The sequence below is a fragment of the Homo sapiens genome, chromosome X (assembly GCF_000001405.40).
Source record: "Homo sapiens chromosome X, GRCh38.p14 Primary Assembly".
Classification (NCBI taxonomy): Eukaryota; Metazoa; Chordata; class Mammalia; order Primates; family Hominidae; genus Homo; species Homo sapiens.
In genome coordinates, this window is record NC_000023.11 from 3,358,636 (window position 1) to 3,385,348 (window position 26,713).

General features: G+C 43.1%; 1 pseudogene, besides 1 other annotated feature; it reads left to right on the forward strand.

The window, feature by feature from the left end:
• Nucleotides 4,257–4,807: an enhancer, noted in NCBI's record as "OCT4-NANOG hESC enhancer chrX:3280933-3281483 (GRCh37/hg19 assembly coordinates)". NCBI's record gives its function as "activates a minimal SCP1, AML or CMV promoter by ChIP-STARR-seq in naive H9 embryonic stem cells {active_cell/tissue: H9 hESC(naive)}" and the evidence as "EXISTENCE:reporter gene assay evidence [ECO:0000049][PMID:30033119]".
• ASS1P4 (argininosuccinate synthetase 1 pseudogene 4) lies at nucleotides 8,413–9,974 on the forward strand (annotated as a pseudogene).

Sequence of the window (26,713 nt, forward strand, 5' to 3'; positions counted from 1 at the left end):
AAGTATACAATAAATGCGATGCCCTTGAATCATCCTAAAACCACCTTCCCACCAAGTCCATGGAAAAATTGTCTTCCGTGAAACTGGTTCCTCATGCCAAAAAGGTTGAGGACTGCTGGTCTATCCATCATCTACCATCTCTATTGTCTATCTTTCTATCTATTTTCTATCTTTATATCCACCTACCTATACTTGAGATAAGTTTAAACATTCATTTTTTATTAGTTTCATTAAAAATATAGCCTTCTTCAAAGGTTAGCTTAGAATCATGTTTGATCATTTTTTTCCTTCCATAGAATAAAATGCAGTTGTAATAAAATACAGTCTAAATTCTTTAAAAAGTGACTTTATTGTAATCCTTTCGTTTATTTTTTTTCCCTTGGCAAGTGTGTAAGATTTTCCTAAAACACTATATAAACTTTTTGCATGTACGTATGTCTGGTTTTTGTTATTGTTGTTGTTTGTGCTGCAGTGTGGCTAATCAAAGAACAAAAATATTTGTTTCATTCTCATCATGCAGGCTTTATATAATTCTTGGGACTTAATTGATGAGTGACATATTGGAGATGTCTAGAAAAATGGTGATTTCCAGCTCTTTCTTTTAGTCAATCCTTCAAAGTCCGTACATTCTCCTGTTTCCTAAGGGGCAGGGTGTTAAGAAAAATAAAAAACTTGACTTGAAAGTGCTTGTACAATTTAAATACTGTGTTTGTTTGGCAGAAATAGTGTTTTAACAAGAGCACCATTTGTTTCTCCCTCATTTATAGGAATTCTCGAGATGGAAAACCCAGGGATGAAGTTCTGGGATGCCGGCACCTTCTTCCCTTAGCATGTGGACTCCCACGTTTAACAAAAGCTGCTGACCAGGAGCGGTGACTCACGCCTGTCATCCCAGCACTTCAGGAAGCCAACACAGGCAGATCAGTTGAGGTCAGGAGTTCGAGACCAGCCTGGCCAACATGGCGAAATTCCATCTCTACTAAAAATACAAAAATTAGCCAGGCATGGTGGCACATGCCTATAATCCCAGCTAGTCAGGAGGCTGAGGCAGAAGAATTGCTTGAACCCAAGAGGTGGCGGTTGCAGTGAGCCCAGATCGTGCCACTGCACTCCAGCCTGGACAGAGCCAGACTCCATCTCAAAAAAAAAAAAAAAGACAAAAGCTGCTGACTCTTCAGCCACCCCATCTGTATTCCAGACATAAATCAGGAGAACAGGAGGAAGGAAGAAAAACAAACAAAACAAGACCCCCTCCAGGAGCTCCCAGCACCACTGAACTTACAAAGTGTCAATTGGAAGAATCTTTAGAAAAGAATAGATTTTTCTGTTGAGCATATTGCATAGTGTGTGGGTATGTGAGTGTTTTTCCCCTACAGCTGCTGTAACCAATTACCACACATTTAGTGGATTATAACAACACAAATGTATTATCTTATAGTTCTGGAGCTCAGAAGTCCAAAATTAAGGTGCTGGCAAGACTGTGTTCCTTCTGGAGGCTCTTGGGTGAAATCCGTGGTCCCTTTCTGTATGTTCAAAGCCAGCTGCCTAGTGTCTTCCAATCTTTCTCTTTCTGACCCTCCTCCTTCCCTCTTCTACGGACCCTGTGATTACATCAGGGTGCACCTGGACAACCCAGGCTCATCTCCCCATCTCAGGATGTTTAACTTAATTATAAGCTTGCTGCAAAAGTAATTGCAGTTTTTGCCGTTAATATTAGGTTGGTGCCAAAGTAATCGTGGTTTTTGCCATTATTTTTGCACCAACCTAATACATCTGCAAAGTCATTTGTTTCCACATGAAATAACATATTGATGGGCTCCAGGGATTAGGATGTGGACATCTCTGGGCACCTGTATGCAGCCTGTTACACTCAGTGAAGAAGTAAGGGAAAATGAGTGTCACGTAGGTATCTGACTATCTCAGCCACAGTGAAAGGGGAAAAGTTCCCTCATCTCCCTCACAGGACGTGCGATGGGGGTGTGGCTCACTCCTTCAGTGCCCCACTGCGCAAACCCCTCGGAGGTGCAGGCAGACCGGGAGGTTGTGGGGCTCCGACCCCTCGGCAGCATCTAGGGGTGAATGTTTATAGCTCCTGAAGCCCCAGTGGGCGTGTGTTACAGAGTGCTCTTTTAGTTTAGCCACCCATAAGCGGCTTGTGTTACTCAGCTCAATTAGACCCCCTACCTTATCACAAAGATGGAGGGCTTTCTGTATCCCTGGTTTCTTGTCTTTGTGTACCGGAAGAATCAGATCACACATGGGCTTGGAGAATGAGTACAAGGTTTTATTGAGTGGAGGTAGCTCTCAGCAGATGGGGGAGCCAGAAGGGAGATGGTTTTCCCCTGGAGTTGCCGGCCGCTCAGCAATCCAGGCTTTCCTCTGACCTTCCCCGCCAAAATCCGTGTAGTTCTGCTGGTCAATGGCCCGCCGGCCCGCTGCCGTCCGCCGCTGCACTCTTCCGCTGGCGTGCTCCCCTCCAGGTCCGGCTGCTTGTGTCTTCTTCTGCTGATGTGTTCCTCTCAATGTCCAGGCACTTGTGTGTCTGCCTGCTAGGTCTCGAGGTTTTTATAAGCACAGATTGGGGGCATAGCAGGCCAGAGTGGTCTTGGGAAATGCAACATTTGGGCAGGAAAACAGGAGTGCCTGTCCTCACTTAGGTCCGTGGGCACAGGCCCACAGGTGGAGCCCTAGCCAGGGACCACACCCTCCTCTACCCAGCACTTCCCTGCCCCCCTTCCATATGAATAGTGCTGTAAATGAAAAAGTAGATGACTGATTTTTATGTAGATTCATGGAGCTACAAGTACACTCAGCCTAGACCTATCTGTAATCTCTTTGTGCATACCAAATTTTATGGTAGATCTTAACATGTAAGCACTTTCGTTGGTTTGTTTTTGAGACAGAATCTCGCTCTGTCGCCCAGGCTGCAGTGCGGTGGCATGATCTCGGCTCACTGCAACCTCCGCCTCCCGGGTTCAAGTGGTTCTTCTGCCTCAGCCTCCCAAGTACCTGGGATTACAGGCGTGCACCACCACACCTGGCTATGGGGTTTTGCCATGTTGACCAGGCTGGTCTTGAACTCCTGACCTCAGGTGATCCGCTTGCCTCAGTCTGCCAAAGTGCTGGGATTACAGGTGTGAGCCACCCCGCCTGGCCTCATGTGAGCATTTTAATTGCCACTAAAAGATATGATGGGCTGTGATTTTGTTTCATGGTAAAGTGAGCCACACAGCAAAGTACATTTAAACACGCTGTAGCAAGATAACTATTCACATACCATGAGATTTCATCCTACACCAGTCAGAATGACTACTATTAAAAAAACAAACAAACAGATGTTGGTGAGGATGCAGAGAAAAGGGAACACTTACACACTGTTCATGGGAATGTAGATTAGTACAATTTGATGAAAAAGGGTGTGGAGATTTCTCAAAGGACCAAAAATAGAACTATCATTCAATCCAGCAACCCACTACTGGATATCTACCCAAAGGAAAAGAAATCATTATATCAAAAAGATACTTGCACTGGCTGGGCGGGGTGGCTCATGCCTGTAATCCCAGCACTTTGGGAGGCTGAGGCAGGTGGATCACTAGAGGTCAGGAGTTCGAGACCAGCCTGGCCAACATGGTGAAACACTGTCTCTAATAAAAATACAAAAACTAGCCAGTCGTGGTGGCGCACGCCTGTATCCCCAGCTACTCAGGAGGCTGAGGCAGGAGAATTGCTTGAACCTGGGAGGCAGAGGTTGCAGTGAGCCAAGATGGCACCTCTGCACTGCAGCCTGGAAGACAGAGCGAGACTCCACCTCAAAATGAAAAGAAAAGATACCTGTACTGGAAGCCCTATTTACAATAGCAAAGATATGGAATCAACCTAAGTGTCCATCAATGGATGATGGGATAAAGAAAATGTGGTATATGTACATACTGGAACACTATTCAGCCACAAAAAGGAATGCAACCATGTCTTTTGCAGCAACATGAATGGAAGTGGTGGTCATTTTCTTAAGTAAAACAACTCAGAAACAAAAAGACAAATACTACGTGTTCTCACTTATAAGTGGGAGCTAAATAATGTTTCCAAATAGGCGTAGAGTGTGGAATAATAGACATTGCTGACCGGGAAGGGTAGGAGGGGGCTGAGGGATAAGAAGTTACTTAATGGGCACAATATTCATTATGCCAGTGATGGACACTTCACCACTGCACAATCTATCTAGGTTACAAAATCACACTTATACCCCATAAATTAATACAAATTTTTTTAAAAACCAATTACACTGCTTCTAAAAGTCATAATTTAAAAAGTCAAGCGATAGAAAATGCATTTGTTGATTTAATCATTTGTCTAGTTAATAAATCACACAATGTCTAGTGTATTGATGTAGATTGAACTCCACATGGGCCTAAATTGTGTTAATCCCACTTGCTGAATTCTTTACTCAGGCAGGGAGGTCAGAATGGGAACTCCTGGCTACACTCCACATCTCAGCAGGGAACAGCATGTGCCGTCTTGCCTGTCTGCTCCTGCAGATCAGTAGCAACCTGTCTGAAGTGCAAATAGAGAACCAGTCTGGGGATGTGTCTGGGCTAAGCAGAGAAAATCACTTCGAGAAATCACTGATGTCTGCCAAGGGCTGGGAGAAAGGAGGACACCGGGGCATTCAATTGGCACACCTGCCCTCATCAGTCCGAATGCTATTTCAGTGCAAACTTTTATTGCATTGTGTCTTAGTCCATTTCACGCTGCTGATAAAGACATATCTGAGACTGGGAAGAAAAAGAGGTTTCATTGGACTTACAGTTCCATATTGCTGGAGAGGCCTCAGAATCATGGCAGCAGGTGAAAGGCACTTCTTACATGGCGACAGCAAGAGAAAATGAGGAAGATGCAAAAGCGGAAACCCCTCATAAAACCATCAGATCTCATGAGACCCACCCACTACCATGAGAACAGTATGGGGGAAACCGCCCCCATGATTCAAATTATCTCCCACTGGGTCCCTCCCACAACACATGGGAATTACAAGAGTACAATTCAAGATGAGATTTGGGTGGGGACACAGCCAAACCATATCACATTGGTAACATGCTTGCCTGTGTAGTTTTAGGAATGTGCTTCTCCAGCCTACTAAAACCTAATTTTAACATAGACTATCTCATTTCAATTTTTAAAGATTTTTCTAACAGCTTTTTTGGGGAAAAAAGATTTATACCAGTTTATTTACTGAAACGAAGATAATAGATTTGTTTGTAAATATCTCCTAATTATGCAATATGGAAACTTCAAAGGAAAGTGAGCGTCTGTTTGTTGTTGTTGTTTTGTTTTGTTTCGTTTTTGAGATAGGGTCTCAATCTGTCACCCAGGCTGGAGTGCAGTGGTGCGATTGTGGCTCACTGTAGCCTTGACCTCCTGGGCTCAGGTAATCCTCCTGCCTCAACCTCCTGAGTAGCTGGGGCTGCAGGTGTGCACCACCATGCCCAGCTAACATTTATATTTTTTGTAGAGACGAGGTCTCATTGTGTTGCCCAGGCTGGTCTCAAACTCCTGGACTCGAGCGATCCTCCTGCCTTGGCCTACTAAAGTTCTGGGATTACAGGCGTGAGCCACTACGCCTAGCCTCCATTTTTAACATCTTATAACGCCTAGAAGAGATCACTTGATTTCCAGGCACATCGTGTTCTATCACTGGTTTCTTCAAAATTTATTAGAGCAATTTTGTCTTGTGTATATTTGTTAATAATTGTATCACAAATGATTTAATATTGTAATTATTATAATATTTATTGTTAAAAATGCAAATAATATATATTATATAAGTATATGTGTCTTTAAGTATATTTTATAAGTTATATAGGTGTATAAGATATATTATAAAATTATATCATATTCATGAAATACACACTATATTATATTATATATAATATATTGCATATAAGTTACACGTGGTGGCTCATGCCTGTAATCCCAGCACTTTGGGAGGCCAACGCAGGTGGATCATAAGGTCAGGAGATCGAAACCATCCTGGTCAACATGATGAAACCCCATCTCTACTAAAAATACAAAAATTAGCCGGGCGTGGTGCGGCTACTCGGGAACCAGAGGCAAGAGAATTGCTTGAACTCAGGAGGCGGAGGTTGCAGTAAGCTGAGATCTCGCCACTGCACTCCAGCCTGGGCGACGCAGTGAGACTCTGTCTCAAAAAAAAAAGTTACATATGAATATATAACTTGCATCATAACATAAATATCTTTCTGTAATATGTAATATCTATGTTATTGATGATATATTCATTCTATTATATAATATATTCATATATTATATTTATATATTTGTATATTATATATTATACATTCATTTAAATATATCTAATGTTTATCTAATCAAGTTATCTAATTATCTAACTTAAAAACATCTAAATAAAATTTATATTTTATAGTATTATAGCAATACATTTAAATGTATCAGCATCAATATATAGTGTATTATGAAATATTTATGTATTACAATAAATTCATATTTATTCAAACATGTATACATTTAAGTTATGCACTTAAATATGTATGAATATCTTATGCAGATTTCAATATTAATTAGATAAGCATGCAAACATATTTTCCCTTTGCCTTTAGGGAGTTCATTATTCTGTATAAGCTTTCCTTCTTTTTCAACTGGAAAAAGCATAAATAAACTTGAGTTAAAATCTAAATGTTTGATCTGTTTATTCCAACATTTCTTACACTTAGTTTATCTGTCTATGGCTCATACGACTTACATGGATTGCTTGAAAGAGTTATTGGTAGGGTTATGGTAGGTTTATTGGGGTAGGGGTTTAAGCAGAATTAAATGTAGGAAACTGAGTTCCCCCTAGAAGCACAAGCAGAGACTAGGATTTGAGGGTAAGGTGTTTATGGGGCGGTGATACCAGGAAGGACCCATCGGAGAACCAGAAAATGAGACAGTGGAGGCCCCATTCCAGAAACCTTCATTGAGCTAATCCGAGCGTTTGACCTGGGGCTGCACATTTTTGGCGAACACCCGAGTTGTTTCTGAAGCAAGTAGAATACGGATCGTGCATCTCCCAGAGGATACTCTGATTTGAAGGAATCTCCTGTTTACACTGGCTCATTGGCTTTTTTGAGTGATAACCCTGACGGGGCCCATGACAGGTCAATTTCACCTTGAGAAAGAGTAGTTCAGGGACACTGGCTCTTTTGTTAACCTTCCTAGTTACTCACAAGGGTGCCCAATGGCTCACAGGTGAGAAGACCAAGGTACAGCGGGGGGGGGTCGGCAGTCAATTCCTACCACTAGAAATGACTCACGTTGTGGCCCAGTAATTCCTGATGTACAGTGCATTATTACTGGATAAATGGCTGCCTCCTGGGAAGATAGAGAGTTCACAGGCCCTCACCCATTTGCCAACTTATTAATTTTCTGTGGCTGTTGTCACAAATTGCTATAAACTTAGTTGCTTAAATGATGCAAATTTATTTTCTTACACTTCTACAGTTCAGTAATTCTGGAGGTGAGAAGTTCAACAAGAGCTTCATTGGGCTAAAATCAAGATGTCGGTAGGCTCAGCGTCACGCAATGTAACAATGTAATAAACCTGCACATGTAACCCTTAATCACAAGTACAAGTTGGCAGTTATTTTAAAAAATAAAAACCTTCACCAAGAATGAAAAATCCTTGTGAATTTCCTTCTGGAATCTCTTTTGAACAGATGTATGGTGTATTCATTTTTTAAACCTGATCTTTGGTCTGGTACAAATGTTGATTTTTTTCCTAATTTTTACATTAAATCATTCCTTAAAGTGGTTATAATTATAAAAGTGAAAAAAAAAACAATAGCAAAAAGGTGTCAGTAGGGCTGCATTCTATTAGAGAAGATGTTGGGCAGAATTCATTTCCTTGCTTTTCAAGGATGGTGGCAGAATTGTTTCTTGTGGTTGTAGAATCGAGGTCTCCCTTTCTGGCTGGCTATAAACTGAACATCATTTCCAGCTTCCAGAGACCACCATACTCATCTCTCTTCGACTCTGGCTCATGTCTGCCATGGAATCTTGTCTCCCCCTGATAGCCCAGAACTGCCCCAAATGCTGACCAATTTTGACACACAGAGTTCTCAATAGGCTCAGCTCCTCAGCTGATAGGCACTGAATCCAAGCACATCTGACAGCCACACCAAGGCCATGGTGCTCCAAAGGAGCATTCAAAGCTCTTTCAGTGTACACTACCACACTCTCCACCCAGTGTCTGAGCATGGCTCACGGGCCTGGGGCCCGTGTTGACCCAAACTCTTGGTCAGTGTGCTAACCCACCTGATATTTCTCATTGATTTTGATGTTGCCTCTAACCTGAAGGGTATTAGTTTGGTACACTTGCTGTAAAAAATTACCTCCTCTTGCTCTATCACCTGCCTCAGGTGCCCGGGGTCCTAGTGGTTCACTGCACTGTGAAGACAGATTCCAGATGCAGGGAACTCACACCTCCAATCCCAGACGCTGTGTCCAGCAAAGGCTCCATGGTTCTGGCCCACAGTGGTGGCCTGGACACCTCCTGCATCCTCATGTGGCTGAAGGAACAAGGCCATGATGTCATTGCCTACCTGGCCAAAATCAGCCAGAAGGAAGACTTCGAGGATGACAGGAAGAAGGCATGGAAGCTTGGGGCCAAAAAGGTGTTCATTGATGATGTCAGCAGGGACTTTGTGGAGGAGTTCATCTGGCCAGCCATCCAGTCCAGCATCCTGTATGAGGACTACTACCTCCTGGGCACCTCTCTGGCTAGGCCCTGCATCGCCCACAAACAAGTGGAAATCACCCAGCAGGAGGGGACCAAGTATGTATCCTACGGCGTCATGGGAAAGGGGAACGATCATGTCCTGTTTGAGCTCACCTGCTCACTGGCCCTCAGATTAAGGTCATTGCTTCCTGGAGGATGCCCGAGTTTTACAGCTGGTTCAAGGGCCTTAATGATCTCATGGAATACGCAAAGCAACATCGGATTCCCATCCCAGTCACTCTCAAGAACCCGTGGAGCATAGACGAGAACCTCATGCATATCAGCTACGAGGCTGGAATTCTGGAGAAACCCAAGTACCATAAGCACCTCCAGGTCTCTACATGAAGACTAAGGACCTCACCAAAGCCCCCAACACCACTGACATTCTCGAGATTGAGTCCAAAAAAGGGGTCCCTGTGAAGGTGACCAACGTCAAGGATGGCGCCACCCACCAGACCTCCTAGGAGCTCTTCATGTACCTGAACCAAGCTGCAAGCAAGCATGGCCTGGGCCATATTGACATCGTGGAGAACCATTTCATTACAATGAAGTCCTGAGGCATCTATGAGACCCCAGCAGGCACCATCCTTTACCATGCTCATTCACACATCCAGGCCTTCACCATGGATCGGGAAGTGCGCAAAATCAAATAAGGCCTGGGCTTGAAATTTGCTGAGCTGCTGTACACCGGTTTCTGGCACAGCCCTGAGTGTGAATTTGTCCGCCACTACATCGTCAAGTCCCAGGAGCTAGTGGAAGGGAAAGTGCAGGTGTCCGTCTTCAAGGGCCAGGTATACATCCTCGGACAGGAGTCCCCACTGCCTCTCTACAACGAGGAGCTGGTGAGCATGAGTGTGCAGGGCGATTAGGAGCCAGTTGATGCCACCGGGTTCATCACCATCAGTTCCCTTAGGCTGAAGGAATATCATCATCTCCAGAGCAACGTCACTGCCAAATGGACCCCTATACAAGTGGGAGCTGGGGCCTCCTCACTTTGCAGATCCCCCAAGTACAGGCACTAATTGTTGTGATAATTTGTAATTGTGACTTGTTTTCCCAGCTGGCAGCGTAGTGGGCCTGCCAGGCCCTAGCTTTGTTCCCTGGTCCCCCTGAAGCCTGCAAAAATAGTCATCAAAGGGAAGGGTGGGGGGCAGCTGCAGTGGGGAGCTATAAAATGACATTTTTTTTTTGAGACAGGTTCTGACTCTGTCACCCAGGCTGGAGTGCAGTGGCTCGATCTCGGCTCACTGCAACCTTCACCTCCCGGGTTCAAGTGATTCTCATCCCTCATCCCTCATTCTCATTCTCATCCCTCAGTAGCTGGGATTACAGGTGCACACCACCATGCCTGGCTAATTTTTGTATTTTTAGTAGAGGCCAGCTTTCACCATGTTGGCCAGGCTGGTCACGAACTCCTGACCTCAGGTGATCTGCCCACCTCGGCCTCCCAGAGTACTGGCCTTACAGGCGTAAGTCAACACACCTGGCCAGAAATGACAATTAAAAGAAGATTAAAAAAAAAATGACCTCCTACTGGGTGGCTGAAAGCAACATAAATGTATTATCTCCCAGTTCTGTTTTTTTCAAAATTCGTTAATTTTTGTGGGTACATAGGAGGTGTATATGTTTATGGGATATCTGCAATGTTTTGATACAGGCATGCAATACATAACAATCACATCACAGAGAATGGGGTATCCAGCCTCTCAAGCATTTACCCTTTGTGTTGCCAATAATCCAATTATACTCTTTTAGTTATTTTTAAATGTAAAAGTAAGTCATTTTTGATCTCCTAGTTCTCTTCTTGGCCTCTCCCTAGCTTCCAGTAGCCACTGGCAATCCTTGGCATTCCTGGACCTGTGGCTGCATCACTGCAGTCCCTGTCTCCATCTCCATGTGGCCTTCTCCTCTGTGTCTGTGTATCCTCTTCCGTCTCCTAGAAGGACACCTGCCATTGCATTTAGGGCCCAACCTAATCCAGGATGATCTCATTTTGAGATCCTTGACTTAGGTATATCTGCAAAGACCCTATTTGCAAATGAGGTCCCATTCACAGGATCCGGGCATTAGGACATAGATATATCTTTCCAAGACCACAGTTTAAGCCACTACAGGTGTCCTTAGTTCCCTCTGGAGGCTCTAGGGGAGGGTCCTTCCTGCCTCTCCCAGCTCCTGGGGGCTCCAGGCATCCCTGGGCTTGTGGCTGCATCAATCCAGTCTCTGCCTCTGTCTCCACATGGCCTTCACCTCTGTATCTGTATCTCCTCTTCTGTCTCTTACAAGTACACCTGTCATTGCATTTAGGGTACTGAATCCAGCATGACTTCATCTTGACATCCCGTACTAATTACATTTACAAAGACTCAATTTCCAAATAAGGTCCTATTTCAAAATTTCGAGCAGACATGGAATTTTTTTTAGTGGGGAAGGTGGGGAGAAGACACAGAATACCTGTTGTGTTCCCCGCATCCTCTGGCTCCCGCTGTTTTCTCCTAGCCAGTGGGATCCTGGTCTCTCACATCTAGCCATTACCTGGAATCTTGCCTGCAGGGAGCTACCCCAACCCCCTGCCCTGACTGGCTCTGATTGGGTTATGTATTCCCCGTCTAATTGTATCACCACAATTATCACAACGTATATCTCATGATCATCATCCCCAGTTTAGGGACTTTACCTTCCACCATCCTTTCATTAAAATGGTTTATTAAGGTGCTTACTGCAAGTTAGACTATGTAAGTGGATACATTTTAAAAATAACTGAATTGAACAACATAATTTGACCTCCTACTCTCTGTTTGTCCTAGAAAAAAGCAGTAAGTACACATGAATTAGAGTCTTAAAATATGAGAGCTTTTCAGGTTGGGCGCGGTGGCTGACGCCTGTGATCCCAACACTTGGGGAGGCCAAGGCAGGAGGAGCACTTGAGCCCAGGATTTCAAGACCAGGTGGGCAACATGATGAGACCCCTGTCTCTACAAAAAATACAAAAAAATTAGCTGGTGTGGTAGCACGCACCTGTAGTTCCAGCTACTCAGGAGGCTAAGGTGGGAGGATCACTTGAGCTCAGGAGGTGGAGGCTGCAGTGAGCTATAATCAGACAACTGCATTCCAGCCTGGGCAATAGAGCAAGACCCTGCCTCAAAATAAAATAAAGTAAAATAAAATAAAATAAAATATGAATTGAACAACGTAATTTGATCTCCTGCCCTGTGTCCATCCTAGAAAAAAGCACTAGGTGCCCTTGAATTCGAATCTTAAAATATGAGACCTTTGTTCTAAATGAACCACCCACAATCTCCACACCTGTTGTGAAGAAGTAACTAAAATGCCCGGATTTTGTTTACTTAGCAGAATCCCCTATATCCCTAAGTGACTCATAGCCTGTTGCTGTTATGTAACAGCTTGCTAGAGAGACTAAACATTTCAGGATTGTTAAGGGAACAAAATGCAAGTAAGGTGTTCCTACAGAAACGTTGCCCCTGGCTATGAACACCTATGAGACACTTGGAAAATGATGTCATTTTGTTTTGTTTTGTGGGAAGACAGATACACTGCATATTGTCCACATATGGAAACCATAGTCTGAGTATATAACCTGGGTGGCCAAATTAGTTGCAAACAAAGATACAGTAGCAATAATAGAGTGTAACCCTGATAGAAAGGAGAATGAACAGATCCACAATAGGTCAGAAGATCTGAAGTTGCATCCACCTTTATTCATTAGGAAGCCTACAAAAAGCAGGAAACAGTAGCTAATGTGCTTAATTCATGTTTAAAGAGTAATTGAAGTAACAGGTATCAGTGTGTTTTCAAAAGAAATAAAATTCAATGGCTGCAGTTTCCTATCTGGTTATATAATTCCCATGTAGTTGTATCACCCAATTGATGACTAAGTTAAACCCACAACACCCTTGCCAAGGCCTGCCCAGCCTCCAGCGATAGGCAGTGATATTTCAATTCGTTTAGGGGTAGGTCTGTTCCACATTCCACCAGCTCTATTGTGTGGGTTTTCCTTTTAGGGAGACAAAAATCCACCTCTAGGTAAGTTTCATGGATCACAGGTACACCGCTAGGGACCCTGTAGAATGTCTGTGATACTTCGACTACACAGCAGCCCTTCAAATCTTAAATGGCACACGCACAAAAATAATCATGCTTCCTGTGTCTTAATTTGGTTTAGAATAAATATGCACTCATGCATTGTTGAGGTTAAGAGTCTGCTATGGTCTGCATGTCTATGTCCCACCCCAAATTCATATACTGAAATCCTCACCAAAAGGTGATGGTATTGGGAGGCATGGCCTTTGGGAGGTGATGAGGTCATAAGGTAGAGCCTCATGAGTGGAATCAGTGCCCTTAGAAAAAGGGCCCCAGAAAGTTCTCTCGCCCCTTCCACCATGTAAGGACACAGCGAGAAGGCTCCATCTTAATCCAGGAAGCAGGTCCTAACAAGACACTGAATCTGCCCCGCCTTGACCTTGGACTCCCAGCCTCCAGAAATGTGAGCAGGAAATGTCTGCTGTTTGTGAGCCCCCCAGGCTATGGTATTTTGCTAGAGAAGTCTGAGTAGACTAGAATACGTTCCTTACACCAACTTTCGCTTTTCTATATTTCCTCAAATTCAAGCACTCAGTGCCAGGAGTATCTGGATGAGACCAGGTTGCGAATCCTTACTAGACACTGAATCTGCCATTCCTTGATATTAGACTCCCAGCCCCAGGACTATGGGAAATCAATGTCTGCTGTTTATAAGCCATGCAATCTAAGGTATTTTGTTACAGAAGTCTGAATTGACTGGGATACAGTTTCTTATAGCAGCATTCACTCTACTATATGCCTTCAAAATGGAGCACTCAGCACTGTGGGTATCCAGGGAGACCAGGTTGGGATGACTGTTGGTGCCTACACTTCAGCTGATTGGAGCTGAATATCACAGCACATTGTTTGATTTAGACAGGTATTTGTCAGTCTTGGTTTACATTCAACCAGTTGTAGACATTCCTAAAAGTTTTTCAAGCCACTCTTTCATCTCTGCTCATCAGGTATGGTGTGGAGAGGTTCAGAACACCTGCCTTATCCAGGTGGGTCTGCTATCATCACAGGGATCCTTACAAAAGGGAAGTGGGAGAGTCAAAGCTACAGAAAAGACACAGGCTGCAGGCTGCAGGTTGGCTTGATATAATTTGAAGATATAGGAAGCAGTCATGAGCCAAGGAATGTAGACAGCCTCTAGAAGCTGGAAACAGAAAGAAATCGTTTTTCTCCTAAAATACTCAAAACACAGCTCTGCAGACATCTTTATTTTATTCTGATGTCCAAAAGTGTAACAGAATAAATGGGTGTTGTTTTAAGCAATGACATGGGTGATAATTTGTGACAGCAGCCACAGACTTGCACACTCATCGTCCTGCTGGTCAACCTTCCCTACAAGAGAAATGCACCCCAGGTCCTTTGCACCTGCTGGCCCCTCTGCTTGGAAGCTTCTTTCTCCAAATGCTGAATGATTTATTCCAACACCACCTCCTCCGAGTGGCTTTTCATCTGTCCCTTTCCAAAATAATCTTCTCCTTTCCTTTTGCCCTGATTCACTTTTGGAAACAGTTCCTATGTGAGTTTAGAGTTTATTTTACTGCATTTGATTCTCTCACTAGAATGTGAGCTCAATGGAAGCTTCAGCGTTCTCACCCATGACCCTGTCTAGGGTTAGGGTTAGGGTTAGGCAATCTGGAGCCATCAATAGCTATTGAATGAACAAGCATGGCCAGGTCTATGTTTAGAGGGTCAACTTCTGGACAGGGACATAATATCTTCTTAAGCAGCGAGGAAGTCAGCAAGAGCCATATATCTGCCATAGGGAAAGAGTAGAAGCACACATATTGCAAGTGGAAATCAGAGTTAGGGGACACTCCATGGGTCTCTCTGATTCTGAGACACCCGACTGCATGGTGAGATATTGTATTAGTCCATTTTCACACTGCTGATAAAGACATACCTGAGACTGGGAAATTTATAAAAGAAAGAGGTTTAATGGACTTACAGTTCCACTTGGCTGGGGAGGCCTCAGAATCATGGCAGAAAGCAAGGAAGAGCAAGTCACGTCTTACATGGATGGCAGCAGGCAAAGCGAGAGCTTGTGCAGGGAAACTCCCCTTTATAAAACCATCAGATCTTATGAGATTTATTCACTATCACAAGAACAGCATAAGAAAGACCTGCCCCCATGATTCAATTACCTCCCACCAGGCCCCTCCCACAACACGTGGGAATTCAAGATGAGATTTGGGTGGGGACACAACCAAACCATATCAGACTTCTTCCATAAGTGGTTTTGGCTCCAGACACACAGTGAAGTCACCTGTGATGACCATTAAGCTGACTTTGGAAGTCACCTGTGAGCTTCCAAAAACACCTGCGCCTATGGTTCTAACTACATAGATTTGACTTCACTGGACCTGGATGTAGTCTGAATTCTGGGAGTGCAAATGTTCTTCTTGTGAGTCTAACAACCTCTAAATGGATATGATAATGCCTAGATCCCAAGACAGAAACAAATGTATAGTGAGCATCAAACTGGTTTGGGATGTGGGAGGCAGAGGATGCCATGGGTCAGGGAAAATGGGAGATCCTGAATTTGCCAATCTTTCTTATAAAGAAGGTTATATTTTCCTCAGAAGAGTAAATCAAACCCAATTTTAAACTTGATTTAGACAAAACATGTGTCTGCACATGGGTGTCTATCCCTTAAGGATGTAAGAGTTGTTGTACTATCCATCTATATTTATGACATATAGTTCTCTACAGGGAGAAAAATGCTGTAATTTTCTTTTATTTGAGGCCAACTCTGTTTTTTGGCCATGTGTTCAGCCATAAGTGGAACTGGCTGACTTTTAATTTTCCACGAGTATCATAAAGAATAGAAATGGAAAGTAATAAAGAGAAAGTGATTGAGTGGGCAATATTTTCCTTTTAGCTCCCAAAGAGAATGGCCAATATTTTTCAACCCTAAGGAATGCCTGTCATTTATTCTCAGAAGCAATGTAGGAATTCATGGGCTACCTCAAGAGATGCCATGAGAACAAAAGTGTAGACCCAAAACAAAGGTAGCTAGTGTCAGCACGTGATGTATGATGCAATTTGAAGACCAGGGAGAATTTGAAGGGATAAAAGGAGGGACATTGTGTCTCACAATAGAATCACGTAAGGGAAAAGATGTGCAGTGTGCCAAGTGAGTGTTTTCCAATTGGCAGTAGACAACAACTCTTCTACTGAGAAATAGTATGGGGGGAAGGAGAAAGAGAAGGCTAGAGATATGTTGCCTCTCTATTGGAACAACTCTTTGAAAAATGTGTATAGAAAACTTCTAAGTGTCCCAAGACCACAGACATATAGGATGTAGATTTGGCCATGGACCTTTGGCAATGGAACATTTGTACTCCCAGAATCCAGACTACACCCAGGACCAATGAAGTCCAATCCCTATAGGCAGAACCATTGGTGCAGGTGTTTCTGGATGCTCACAGGTGACTTCCAAAGTAAACTTAAAGGCCATCACAGGTAACTGGGGCCCAGACCACTCAAGGAAGGAGGCTCACAATGTGGTTGGGTGTCTCAGAATCAGAGAGACCCATGCAGTGTCCCCTAACTCTGATTTCCACTGGCAATAGGTGCACTTCTACTCTTTCCCTATGACAGCCTGATGGCTCTTGCTGTCCTCCTCACTGCTTAAGAAGATATTATGTCCCTGTCCAGAAGTCGACCCTCTAAACATAGACCTGGCCATGCTCATTCATTCTTTCAATAGCTATTGATGGCTCCAGGATGCCTAACCCTAACCTAACCCTACTGCTAACCCTAACCCTACCCCTACCCCTAACCCTAGACAGGGCCATGAGTGAGAACACTGACGTTTCCATTGAGTTCACATTCTAGACAAAGAGTCAGACACAGTACAATAAACACTAACCTCACATAGGAACTGTTTCCAAAAGTGAATCAGGGCAAAGAGGAAGGAGAAGGTAATTTTGGAAAGGGACAGGTGAAAAGCTATTCTGAGGAGGTGGTGTTGGAATAAATAATTCAGTTTTTGGAGAAAGAAGATTCCAAGAAGAGGGGCCAGCAGGTGCAAAAGGCCTGGGGTGCATTTGTCTTGTGGGAAATTTGAACAGCAGGATGATGAGTGTGTGAGTCTCCTGTGGTTGCTGTTACATGGGTCTGTAGGGTGATAAAATGAGAACATTTTAGTCAAATATTTCAGTGCCCAGTTTGAGGACAGTAGGTTGATAAACCAGCCAGGAATATTCCAGGCTTTCTCTCATCCATTTGCAAGACTGAAACTGGCCTTGTCTGTACCATGTTTCAATAACAGGCTGCCTTATTAACATGTACTCCTGTAGGATAGGAAAAACGCTGACTCAATAACACTGCCTGAAAAAAAATGCAACAAAATATGTTTTTCCTCTTTCTCCCTCTCTTCTTATTCCTCCTCCCTCTCCTCTAATTGTATAAAGTGATATCTTATTATCTTCATTTTTATTTCTCATTACATTTTGATTTTGGCATCTCCTCGTACTCATTGAATGAGTTTTCTAGGGATGTTGCAATGCATTCCCACAAGTTCAGTGGCTTAAAACAACACACATTGAGTATCTTCCAGTTCTGAAAGTCAGAGTCCAAAATGAGTCTCCCTGGGATAAAATTGACATATTGGCAGGACCCCGTTCCTTCTGGAGGCTCTACACAGGGAGGATCTATTTTCTTGCCATTTCTAGCTTTTAGGAGTGTCAACTAAAAATAAAATCCTAACACCCCCTCCCCACCCCTGCACCCCTGCTCCCTGGTTATCTGAACTGATCCCTCCTCTCAGCCAAGGGCACTCCAAAGTTAACCTGAAAAACTGGTTCAGGCCATGATGGGAAGTGGAAGCTGGACATGCCTCATCATGCCCTCCTCCCTTTTGGAATCACTGATAGAACAGACTCTCTAACTCTGATAAGAAACCTTTATAATCTATTCTCTCTGGAGCCTGCTACCTGGAGGCTTCATCTTCATCATAAAACCTTGGTCTCTACAACCCCTTATCATAACCCAGACATTCCTTTCTACTGATAATAACTTTTTCAACCAATTGGAAGCCCCTCTTCCTGCCACTTTGAGTTGTCCTGCTTTTCTGGACCAAACAAATATACATCCTACATGTATTGATTGATGTGTCATGTCTCCCTAAAATACATAAAACCAAGCTGTACTCCAGCCAGCTTAGGCAGATGTCATCAGGACCTCCTGAGGCTGTGTCAAGGGCACACCCTTAACCTTGGCAAAATAGACTTTCTAAACTGATTGAAATCTGTCTCAGTTACTTTTGGTTTAATGGGAGCTACCAATGTTTCTTGACTCATGGCCCCTTTCTCCATCTGCAAAGCCAGCCATAGCCACCAGGTCTAGTCTTTCTCAAGTTGCCACCTCTCTAGTTCTCCCTCCCCGCAACATTTTAAGGACCTTAGTGGTCACAAGGGACCACCTGTGTTACTCAGGATACTCCCCTTATTTTAAGATCAACTGATGAGAGAAAACTTAATTCCATATACAACCTGAATTTCCTACTGCCATGGTGCATAACACTTGTATAGGCTCTGGGAAGTAGGACATGACATCTTTGGGATGGGAGAGATCACCCTGTCTGCTATATGCATTCAAACTATTCGAGTTTCTTCTTGTAAGAATTATCATTGCTACCCATTTTGCCTTTCCTCGTGGGTTTTATTTTCATCTTAATAGGCATACTGGCCAGGAGCAGTGCCTCATGCCTGTAATCCCAGCACTTTGGGAGGCTGAGGTAGGAGGATCGCTTGAGCCCAGGAGTTTGAGACCAGCCTGGCCAACATGGCGAAACCCCATCTCTGCTAAAAATACAAAAAATTAGCTGGGCGTGGTGGTGCACGCCTGTAATCCCAGCTACTCAGGAGGCTGAGGCACAAGAATCGCTTGAACCCAGGAGGCGGAGGTTGCAGTGGGCCGAGATAGCACCACTGAACTCCAGCCTAAGTGACAGAGTGAGGCTCTGTCTCAAAAAAAAAAAAAAGTAGAAAGATTATTTTTAAAAAATAATAATAATAGGCGTACTTTGTATAGTTTAGGTATTAGCCCCTCATCAGTTTGACACTGTGTGTGTGTATGTGCATGTGTGTATGCGCGTGTGTGTGCGTGTGTGTATGTGTGTGCACGTGTGTATGTGCATGTGTGTGTGCACGTGTGTGCATGTGTAAGTGTGTGTGCGTATGTGCATGTGTGTATGTGTGTATGTGTGCGTGTGTGTGTATGTGCATGTGTGTGTATGTGCGTGTGTATGTGTGTACTGTATGTGTGCATGTGTGCACGTGTCTGCATGTGTGTGCATGCATGCGTGTGCACATGTGTGTATGTGCATGTATGTGCATGTGTGTATGTGCACGTGTGTATGTGCATGTGTGTGTTTATGTGTGTGTATGTGTGCGTGTGTGTGTTGCGTGTGTGTGTGTGTATGTGAGTGTGTGTGAGCACTTTTCTGTGAGGTATTTCTAAAATATTTTTCTTTCTTCTCACAATTCAAATACTTAACCAGAATACCTCTAGTTGCTATTTTTCTTTCCATAACTTTCATCTGGGACTAATTAAGAACCAGATAGCCAGAAAGGTCCTATGAATTATTATTTTAAGAATAAAGACAATGTTATTTTGTAGATGTTACAAAAATACAATGAATTGATTTCCAAGAACACCGTGCACTCTTTTTTGTTTGTTTTTAGTGTCTCCAATAATTTATCTTGTAGGTAACCTATCCTCACAGAAGCACTCAGGGCAGAAGAGGAGACCGAGGTTTCTGTGCAATTATTTATTTGGAAATGGAGCCCATTCCCTTCCTGGAGCAGGAGCTCAGGAAGTGGAGGGAAGGACGTGAAACAGGAAAAGAGGAAAAGCCCATTTGAGGATTTATGACTGGATTTGCTGCCAAAGTTGCAACTACAGTTTTTTAGGATAACTGTAAGGCTGCACTGGGGAGATGAAAGAGGAAGCTATTTCTCCATCTCCTTCCGTCCTCTATGGGTGAAGGATGGCTCCTTCTCTCTTCTGATCCTGAGTGCTGGAAAGCTCAAGAAATTCTTCTGAGAATTGAGTGAGTTCAGCCAGCCTGGATTCCCTGGAATTCTGGTGAAGCCTGACTGGGGTAAGAACAAAGATTGAGAAGGTTTGACTTGGTAGACAACCAGTACCTCATGAATAGATATCCTGTAACATAAAATAGTGGTAATACTAATAATAATTATCATTATTATTAGCAATAATGCTGCAGGTTTGTCGTTACTGCCTATGTATATTTTTTCCAGGATGAAAAAACTTCCTCCACATTCTAGGAGAGAATTTCGCTTCACGAGTAGGTAGTCCACAGAATCCTAACCTCACAGGATGGTTCATTCAAAACAGATTCAATGATAAAACACACTTTAGAAAGGTTAAATATATGTTATCCTTGGTAGTGACTCATAACCCTGTTAGTTATGGCTGTGTAACAAATTAACCCCAACACTGAGCCATTTAAAGCCACACACAACACACATGTATTGTCTTGGTTTCTGTGGGCTTGGGATCTGAGGATGAGCCGGCATGGTTAGCTGGGTCTCACAGCTGAGGGTCTCTTAGGAGTTTGCAGTTGAGGTGGAGGTGGGGGCTACAGCATCTCAGGGCTTGACTGCAGAGGGATTTGCTTCCAAGCTCACTCACATTGCTGTTGGTGGGATTCAGTTCCTCACTGGCTGTTGTCCAGAAGGTTCCTTTCATTCTGAGTCACGTGGACTTCTCCATTGGGAAGCTTACGACGCACAGGCTGACTTCCCTCATAGCAAGCACCCAATCAAGCCAGTGAGGGGGATGAGGAATATGGAAGCCACAGCCTTTGTGTAACCTAATTTTGGTAATTGCATTCCATTGCAGTCAACACATTGTGTTCATTAGAAGCAAGTCGTGCATCCTGCCTACACTCAGGGAAAATGATTATACAAGGGAATGAATGCCAGGAGTGGGGGGTTCTTGAAGTTTCTCTTAGAGTGAGCTTTCCTATGTTGGCAACATATGCAGAATCTCTAGTATATCAGGTTCAATCAGGAAGAGATAACCTGCAAAATGGGACAAAATATTTGCAAACTCTGCATCCAACTAATATTCAGAATCTACAGGGAACTCAACAATAACGAAAAAAATCCGTATAACCCTATTAAAATGTGGTTAAAGAACATGAACACACAGTCTTCAAAAGAAGACATATCAATGGCCAAAAAGCATATGAAAAATTGCTCAACATGACCAATCATCAGAGAAAAGCAAATTGAAACCATAATGAGATATATTCTTATTTCAATCAGACTAGCTATTTTTTTTTGAGACAGAGTCCCACTCCGTCACCCAGGCTGTAGATAATTTGATTATTACTGCCATGCCTTGGTATTTGTGTTTCAAGAGCTGCCAGCAACTGCTATTAAAGGATGCATTTATAAACATCCCTGTGAAATTGATCACTGAGTCAGCTCCTGAAATATCTGGAAAGACTGTGTCCACTTTATGTATCTCTCCTCTATATATAGGAAGTCCCAAGAAAATGGGAGTCCAGTATCAAAAAAGGATTTGCTTCTTAAATAGCACCACACTTTCTTCTATTTAATATTGAAAACTGTCAAGGACTATGTTCTTTCTTTATTTAGACTGCCAGAAAGTACAGACACATCATCATCTGTGTTCATCCTCGTGGTTTCATTGTCAGCCCTCACTGTCATATCACCCTGGTTTTCTATCACTCATTTATAATCTGTATTCTTTATATCCTATTTTTAGTTGCATTTTGTATATCTTATATTATTCTGTTTCTTCTTTCCTGAAGCGTCCTCCTTCTTTTCAAAGGACAAGGCAAGGCCAGACATGATTGCTCATGCCTGTAGTTCTAGCATTTTGGGAGGCTGGGGTGGGGGGATCACTTGAGCCCAGGAGTTAAAGATTAGTCTGGGCAACATGGCAAGACCTTGTCTATAAAAAATAAAAAAATTAGCCCAACATGGTGGTGCACACCTGTATTCCCAGCTACCTGGGAGTGGGAGGTGGGAGAATCACTTGATCCCAGGAGGTCAAGGCGGTAGTGAGCTATGATTGCACCACTGCACTCCAGCCTGGGAGACAGAGCAAGACCCTGTCTCCAAAGAAAGAAAGAATAAAGGACAAGGCATGGCCTGTAAGTTGACAACCAACAAAAGAATCACTACAATTACAAACTGCCCTCCAATTTGGAGCAGTTCTGGTGGCTCAGACCATGTGGTTAAATACCCTGGTTTCTAATGACTTTGAGGGTGTGAGGTTTCCCATACACATACACAGCACAGCTTCTCAGAGGTCTGAAAATGGTTTCCTTTTCTGGTTTGCACTCTCCGCTCGTAGGTTTTACAACAGACATAAATGTTCATGTCCTATGTAGCATGTTCAACAATTGTGCAATGTATAATTTCACCATTTGCAAGGATACTAAGTGAGTGGAAAACTGAATTTATAACGTTGATGTACATTACACCTGTTGCCTGATGTATTAGTCAGGATAAAAGAGAACTAATAGAATGTGTTTGTGTGTGCATGTAGTTGACCCTTGAAGAACACAGCTTTCAACTTATACGTGAATTTTCTTCTACCTTTGCCATCCCTGAGACAGCAAGACCAACCCCTCCTTTTCCTCCTCCTGCTCCTCAACGTGAAGACAGTGAGAATGGAGACCTTTAGGATGATCCATTGAAAATGAAAGTTTAAAAAAAGAATATATTGGCTGGGCATGGTGGCTCACGCCTGTAATCCCAGCACTTTGGGAGGCCGAGGCAGGCGGATCACGAGGTCAGGAGATCGAGACCATCCTGGCTAACACGGTGAAACCCCGTCTCTACTAAAAATACAAAAAAATTTAGCCAGGCATGGTGATGAGCGCCTGTAGTCCCAGCTACTCAGGAGGCTGAGGCAGGAGAGTGGCGTGAACCTAGGAGGCAGAGCTTGCAGCAAGCTGAGATCATGCCACTGCACTCCAGCCTGGGTGACAGAGTAAGACTCCGTCTCAAAAAAAAAAAAAGAACATATTTGCTAACATCATAAATAAATAAATAAATAGCAAATCTATTTTTTCTTCCTTATGATTTTCTTTCATGACATTTTCTTTTCTCTAGCTTACTGTATTGTAAGAATACAGTATTGAGGCCGGGCGTGGGAGCTCATGCCTGTAATCCCAGCACTTTGGGAGGCCAAGGCAGGTGGATCACTTGACGTCAGGAATTCGAGAGCAGCCTGGCCAACATGGCGAAACTCCATCTCCACTAAAAATACAAAATTAGCTGGGCATGGTGGCGTGTGCCTTTAATCCCAGCTACTTGGGAGGCTAAGGCAGAAGAATCACTTGAACCTGGGAGGTGGAGGTTGCACTGAGCCAAGGTCATGCCACTCCAGCCTAGGTGACAGGGCAAGACTCCATCTCAAAAAAAAAAAAAAAAAAAGAACACAGTATTGAATACATATAATGCACAACATTTGTGTTAATCAACTGTTTATATTACCAGTAAAGCATCTGGTGAACAGTAGGCTGTTAGTAGTTAAGTTGTGGAGAAGTCAAAAGTTATAAGTGGATTCTTTCTTTTTTTGAGACAGGTTCTCACTGTGTGACCCAGGCTGGAATGCAGTGGCCTGATCTCAGCTCACTGCAGCCTCTGCCTCCCCAGCTCAAGCGATTCTCCTGCCTCAGCCTCCCGAGTAGCTGGCATCACGGATGTGCACCACCACATCCGGCTAATTTTGTACTTTTAGTAAAGACAAAGTTTCACCAAAGTTTGCCCTAGCTGGTTTTGAATTGCTGAGCTCAAGAGATCTGCCCGCCTCAGCCTCCCAAAGTGCTGGGATTACAGGCGTGAGCCACCATGCCCGACTGAGTTATAGGTGGATTTTTTACTGTGTTGGGGGGAGTCAGTGCCTCTAACCTCTGTGTTGTTCAAAGATCAACTGTATATATAGTTATATATACTTTTATATAGGTACACATATACATATGCCAACATGTTTATATTTATATACATATTTTACATATGTATATGTTTATATGTGTTACTATATAACCAGTTACATATATAAATATATATGTATTGTGTATATATGTATATAAATAAGTATATATGTCTTTGTGTATATGAATAAATACACATGCATGTAAATATAAATATATGTATATATACATATATTTATTTACATATACATACACTTACATACATTTATATATACATACACATATACACTATATATAATATATAAATACATATACTTTATATACACTCACACAAATGCACACATATATATATTTTTTATACACACACACATATATATTTCTTTACATACACACATACACAGAGTTTTGAAGAAATTGGCTTATGTGATTGAAGAGACTTGGCAAGCCCGATATCTCCAGGGTAGACCAGAAGGCTGGAGACCCAGGGAAGAGCTGATGCTGCAGCTCAAGCCCAAAGTCCTCTGTGTGGAGGCAGAATTTCTTCCTCCTCCAGGGCCCACAGTCTTTTGTTCTCTTACAGTCTTCAGCTGATTGGACAAGGCCCATGTACCTCATGGCGGGCAATCTGCTTTACTCAAAGTCTATGGATTTCGGCATTAATCTCATCTAGAAAATACCTGCACGACAATGCCTAGGCTAGTGCTTGACCAAATACTTGGGTTCCATGAGCTCACCAAGCTGTCACATCAATTTGACCCTTGCTCTAAATTTTAAAATGTTTTGTATTGCAAACTTGCAATTTCTTTGCTTGTACACACCCCTCTATGTAGGACACTTGTGCTCCACAGTCAATCCTGCCAACTGCACCTCTTACTCCAGTCAATGCCATCATGGCCAGTTGCCTGCAGCTTTTGCCATGTTCCCCAGGTGTCTCGTGGCTGGCTTGTCTCAATTGTGTGGTGGCACCTTCCCCTCCTGCCACCTTCCTTCTCTGCAAATAGTTTGACTTTTGCAACCAAGCAAGCAAGACACAGGAGAGAAGAGCCTGAGATGGAGCAAGGACTCCCCTCTTTGGAGCCTGTGGGATTCCCCACACGTGGAAATAAAGGAAAATCTTGAGTTCCTTGGAGGGAAATTCCAGGCATCTAGCTGGCTCTAAGAAGTCAATGAGCAGCCTGATAAGCAAGAAGGTAATCGTAGCTTAAAACAATTGCCAAGGAAGAAGTTAGAGTCACGAGATGCTTGGCTCCCCTACATGTGTTTGCAGAAACTCAGACCTCCACCCAATAAATCTACTACCCTCTCCCCTGACCACAGATAAGGGGGACTGGGGGTTACACTCTGAGCACCATTCCTTGTTCTCAATTTCTTTCCAAGGGGCCTGGATGTCACGGCCCTGGGTCAGAATGAACCTTCTTTCCTGCTGATCCCAAATTTTAAGACAAAGCTTTGCCTGCTTCGCTGATTACAAATCAGAGGGACTTTGAATCCACCTAGACCCGTAGGCCTCTGCTTTGGGATTTCTCGCTGTTTTAGGTCAAACCAATGTATAACCTCCATGCATTGATTTATGACTTTGCCTGTAACCTCTGCCTCCATGAATTAAAGAATTCATACCAAGAAGCCATCATGAAGGCCAGGGTTTAACCATGAGCTGCCCAATTCTCCTTGTTTGGTTCCCTGCAAATAAACACCTTCCTTTCTCCCACTGCAAACCTCACTGTAGACATCTGGTCTTACTGCACTGGGTGAGCAGACCTCAGTTCAGCTCCAAAACAAGATGATGCAGCCTCTGCACCTTGAGAATTGCAGGCTGCTGGACAAATGCCTTTGCTTGCAGCCCTTGGGAGGACAGTTCTGAGACACATTTCTCAAGTCCAGGTTAGATAAGACCCCCGTTGTCTGTAACAGGGATGAAGACCACAACCCAATCTTGTTTGCCTTTCTCTCTTTCCAGTTTCACACTTGACCCATAAACCACTTGGCAAGGAAACTTCCTGCACACAGCCCTGCCCAGGCAATGATACCCTTGAGTGAGCATCTGATAAGCCAAAACAATTAAGAATGAAAGAATGCAATGACTTGCACAGTGAAGAATGCGAGATCCAAAGTAAGGTCTTAGCTGTGAGACCAGCCATGACATGAGTGTGAAATATTGGAGCCTGTGGCCTGCACTCAACAGAGGGTGTTTGCAGCTTATATGGAAATAAAATTCATAATACTGTAGGGTCAGAATAGGTAGAGGGTTTTGGATCGTGGGGTGTATGTGTGTGTATGTATGTGTATTAGTGTATATATGCACATACGTGTATATGTGTGTGTGTGTATATATATATATGTATAAATATGAATTAGCATGTGTATCTCTACCTTACTCCTTGAGGCAAAATTCATCTTCTCATATACTGGGCAGAAATATTGTTCTCCTCCTACAAAGTCATGTTCAAATATTGTGACCCTACCTTATCCAATTTTATTATTCACATAAGTTAGTTCACACACTTCTATAAGGCAGTTCAAATCCTTGATGAATATCTACATCTACATATAGCCATACATACACACACACATACATACATGCATCTACATCTAGACAGGCATAAATGCATGCACATACATCACAGATAGATGATAGATAAGTAATAGGTACATAGATAATAGATAGATAAATGAATAATAGGTGATTGATAGACTGATGATATAATAGATACATAATACCTATATGAATGCATGATAGATAAACAGATGATAGCTAGGTAGATAGGTAGAGAATAGATAGATGAATGGATAGATAGGTGATGGATAATATATAGATAGAAAGATAGATAATAGATGAATGGGTGGATGGAAGATAGATGAATAGATGGAATAAATATATAACA